The sequence below is a fragment of the Homo sapiens genome, chromosome 2, assembly GCF_000001405.40.
Source record: "Homo sapiens chromosome 2, GRCh38.p14 Primary Assembly".
Taxonomy (NCBI): Eukaryota; Metazoa; Chordata; class Mammalia; order Primates; family Hominidae; genus Homo; species Homo sapiens.
The window spans coordinates 146,832,055-146,836,703 of record NC_000002.12 but is presented as its reverse complement, the minus strand read 5'-3'; the positions used below and the strand labels follow the sequence as shown (position 1 = coordinate 146,836,703).

The 4,649-nt window shown below is 36.1% G+C and overlaps 1 pseudogene; it reads left to right on the top strand.

The window, feature by feature from the left end:
* On the top strand, positions 2,666-3,203 carry LOC100420430 (nipsnap homolog 2 pseudogene; annotated as a pseudogene).

The following is a 4,649-nucleotide window of genomic DNA, read 5'->3' as shown; positions in this document are numbered from 1 at the left end:
TATATACACTGGCCATCTTTCAAGTTTCTATAGGCAACACTTTTGACAATTATTTTATTCTCAAAAATACAGATCACCATTTTTTTTCCTAACCTCCAATAACAATTTGATTTTTTTTTCTCCGCATTTGCTAAGAGTTTGTTTGCCATTTTTCCATCCTCTGCTCAGTGCTTACTGCCAATGGCACTTATTTTAGATTTTTGTTATGGCAGCACCTCAATTCTAGGAACCAATTATTTCTGCATCAGTTAGCTTTTGCCATGTTAAAAAAATCACACAACTTCGCAGCTTAAAACAACCATTTCTTTTATTTTTTAGCACATAATCCTGCTGGTCATTAATATGGACTGGGCTCAGCTGAGCTTGTGTTTGCAGTCAGCTTCCAGGTCAGCTGGGGACTACAGGTCTAGAATGGCCTCAGCTGGAGCTGCTCACCTTGGTTCTGTGTTTTCTCATCATCCTGCAGGATAGCCTGGGCTTGTTCTCATGGTGACTGGTCAGAGTTTCACGAGAATGAAGAGAGGCAAGCTAAGGTTTTTGGGGCCTAGACTTGGAACTAGCACACTGTCACTTATGCTGCATTTTATTGACCAGAACAAGTTACAAGGCCAGCCAAAACATAGGAGAATGGCAAATAGACTCTAGGTCTTACGTTGTAAAAGATATAGATATTCAGAGTATAGAAGAATTAGGGATCTTCTTCCAATATACCATACCTCTCACTATTAGTAAATTTTGTTACCATTACTGTTTTCTCAAAAACACTATTAAATTTTTATTATTTCATAGAAAAGCATGACTGTGGCTTCACCAAAACTTTTCGGCTTCCTTGAGCATAGACACTAATTTTCTGACCACACAACCTGACCATGTATGTGTTAGTATCCTACTCCAGATCCTTCTTACTGGTCTACTTGTTTCAGTAGGCAGCTCCTCAACTGACTTTTGCCTACCTACCTGCCTCCATCTTTGTACAGCTCTAACTGGTTGAATCCAGACCTGTAGACTTGCTTGTCTTTGGGTGGCTTCTGATCTTCACCCACCTTATAAGCAACAGCAGCACCAATCAGCCTGTTGTTGGAAGGAAGGCCCACCTACATAACTTCTGCATGCCCCACCTCAGTGGTGATCATGTTCCACAGTCCCCTCTTCCATTTTGCACCTTCTTCTGATCAGCTCCACTACTAAAAGTAGGAAAAATTTGTTGAAAATATGAAGTTCTTCAAAAACTAGCTATGCAGAGAAGAGAAATACAGCTTCTACCAGTTCAATGGTGTTAACTCCGTGAGTTAGGCCCAAAGACCTTTTTTTCAAGCCCAGAAATTGTTGTAAACTAGATGTGAGGCTTTGGTTACTTCTTTGACTTTCAAGTCTCCAATCTTTATTATGTCTGATTTTTGTCCTTTCATTTGTGTTTTTATGGACAGTTCTACAAAGGAAATATGAAACCTACTTGAGAACATTCAAAGAAAATGGTGAAGATACAGAATTACACCAAAAGGCCACATGTTCATTAGGATGGAGAATAAAATCACAGTGTGTCTCAAGATCTATTTAAAACTCCATTCTATATTTACATATGAATACTTGCTTTTTCTCTGATTTTTTTCTGAGAGCATAAAATAATTTTGAGATGATTCTGAATGTTTTAAGTTAAAGAATTAAGAGCACAAGAATCTTTTATAGTTCACATAAGCACACACGCACACATACACACATACTAACAGACATTTATTTCTCTTTCTAATCCACGTTTGTTGGTCAACAGTATAGATGATGAAAAGAATATCCTCCCTCATTATATCAAATAGCTCCACCAGCTTGGCTATGAATTTTACCCTGAAATAAGCAACATAGACACACACATGCACACATGCATACATCCTTCTTTCTTTAAGTAGAAAACAGCCCTAATTTTGATTCAATTCAATAAAATATACTGTTACAAAATTAAGAAATAATTGAACAGTAGTTTTGAGAGTTAATAATGCAAAATCAATATATTATACTTTTCTTACTGCCCGTGATGTAATATTTAGCAAACCAGTATTTATTATTGGACTAATGGTAACACAATTGACAACACACTGGGATATTATGGGAATTTCCTGTCATACGAGTACACCCACTTCAATTTGAGCTCTACTGGAAAAATCAATGCTTAGAAAATGCAAAAGGGAAACAATGACTACAACAATTTTTTAAATGTCTAAGATATTATTACATGGTTTTTTTTTGTAAGCAAAACTGAATAAGAATAGCTTTATTTCCTAGAAAAAGCTAGATATACTCCTAAAATAAAGTTGCATATGATTTAAAAGTAGATTCTCATTCATCTGTGTTCTCTGGCCTTTATTAACTTTAAGTAAAATATGTAATAATTTGAAAGTAAAAATTGAAGAGTTCAACTTTAAAACGAAAATACCCCGAAATAAAATCCTTTCTCCCCATGAAACGTTTGTTTTGCTTCATGCATGTTAGTTCATAGGCTTTCCCCCTTGAGTCCCCAGTGTAACATTAAAGACAATTTAAACATTTCTTTCTCAGCACGGAAGCTTATGAGCTGAATAAGATGGTAACATAAGCAGAGACTCACAAGGTAGTCCTCCCTTCCCACCTCAGACCAACTTGCAGATTGACATTCTCCTATATCAGACCTCAGGATGATATCTAGTCAAAATCTTTACTTGTCCAACAAATTTCATTATCCAAAAAATAAACATACTCTCTAATCTCTTTGCTGTAAAGTAAATGAGCTTTCAGAACAATTTTGATTATACAGAGTTAAACTGAAATGCCTTAAAGTGTATAACAAAGTTAGTTTAGAGTTAGTGCCAAAGGTTGGTATGTGAAAGTCAATATGGCTCTTGTCCTTTGGTGAAGACATGGAACACAAGGTTTCAGGAACAGAATTAACCTTCCATTTTTGGACGTATGATGGAAGCTATGTCTTATTCATGGAGGTCATAAACTCAGGAAACAAAGATCAATAATTTTTGGAATTCCCTGAGTCATGAAGCAATACACTTCTGACCAAGAAGAATCACCTGCTGTGGAGATTTGGTCTGGACCTGATATGTTTGCACTGAAGTCGTCTTTACTCAGATCAAGAAAAAAATGTTTGAATGGGGGTGATTCAATTCAGAGGGAAACACAGTGAAGCAGTTTGAGAATTCTCTCATTTTGGCCTGCTATACGTTATATATAATTTTGGGTTTTTTTATTTATTTTGTTTTATTTTTAATTTTATTATTATTACACTTTAAGTTTTAGGGTACATGTGCACAACGTGCAGGTTTGTTACATATGTATACATGTGCCATGTTGGTGTGCTGCACCCATTAACTCGTCATTTAGCATTAGGTATAGCTCCTAATGCTATCCCTCTCCCTCCCCCCACCCCACAACAGTCCCCAGTGTGCAATGTTCCCCTTCCTGTGTCCATGTGTTCTCATTGTTCAATTCCCACCTATGAGTGAGAACATGTGTTTGGGTTTTTAAGATTCTGTTTAGGAAAGATATATAGAATGTAGCATGCTATAAAAATAACTGGATTAATTGGTACATTTTGTTATTCCACTTCTTGAGAAAATGGAATCCAGATTCTAATTTTATTGACAGTTATGACATTCCAGTAAAATTTTATAGTTGATTGATATACCTACGTAGATTTATGTAACAAATATTTGCCCTAATTTTATGATATACAGTGGACTCCATGTGAGAAAAAAAAAATCTACCTTAAAACTGCTCTTTGTAGCTTACTAAGAGATCTATTTTCTCCCAAATTTACATAATCACAGAGAAAGAAACTATTCTAGTGTGACTAATTGTAACAGTAATCTGTCCTGCTTTTGGAGCATGCTTTTGTTTGTCAGATGTACCGTACAATATTACAGGTAGCCATCTCCCCCGACTCTTCACTCCCTAGAACAAGCAGCAGGTTACAAATAAATTCGACCTGAATAAGAATCCAAATATAAAAAAGGAATATTACCAATTTATTTATAAAGTGCAAGTTTATTATAATAGTGATATTTTGATAAACTTCTTGTATCAAGAAGAATTATGGGCTGGGCATGGTGGCTCATGCCTGTAATCCCAGCGCTTTGAGAGGCCAAGGAAGGTGGATTGTTTGAGCTCATGAGTTTGAGGCCAGCTTGGGCAACATGGTGAAACCCTGTTTCTACAAAAAAAATACAAAAATTAACTGGGCGTGGTGGTGTGTGCCTGTCAGCCCAGCTGCTTGCAAGATTGAGATGAGAGGATGGTTTGAGCCTGGGAGGCAGAGGTTGCAGTGAGCCCAGATTGGGCCACTGAACTGCAGCCTGGGTGACAGAGTCAGAACTTGTCTCCGAAAAAATACCAAAAAAACAAAAAACAGAAGATTTATGAACTTTACTTAGTTGTATTTCTTTCATTATTTTTAGTCTTAAACCAGGAATGTTTTATGAATAGATTTAAAACACTTGAAAATGCATTGTTTGGTATTTTAGAATGTGTCTTTACTAGTGTGTTAGTGGTTGATAAAGTGCACATAGGCAACAGTTTGTTTTTCGTGTAGCTAAACATGATTACTACAAATGAGGAACAAATCTCTCCAGTTCTTTCATTGGACTTCATGATTCATTGAGTAGCATACAATGAAT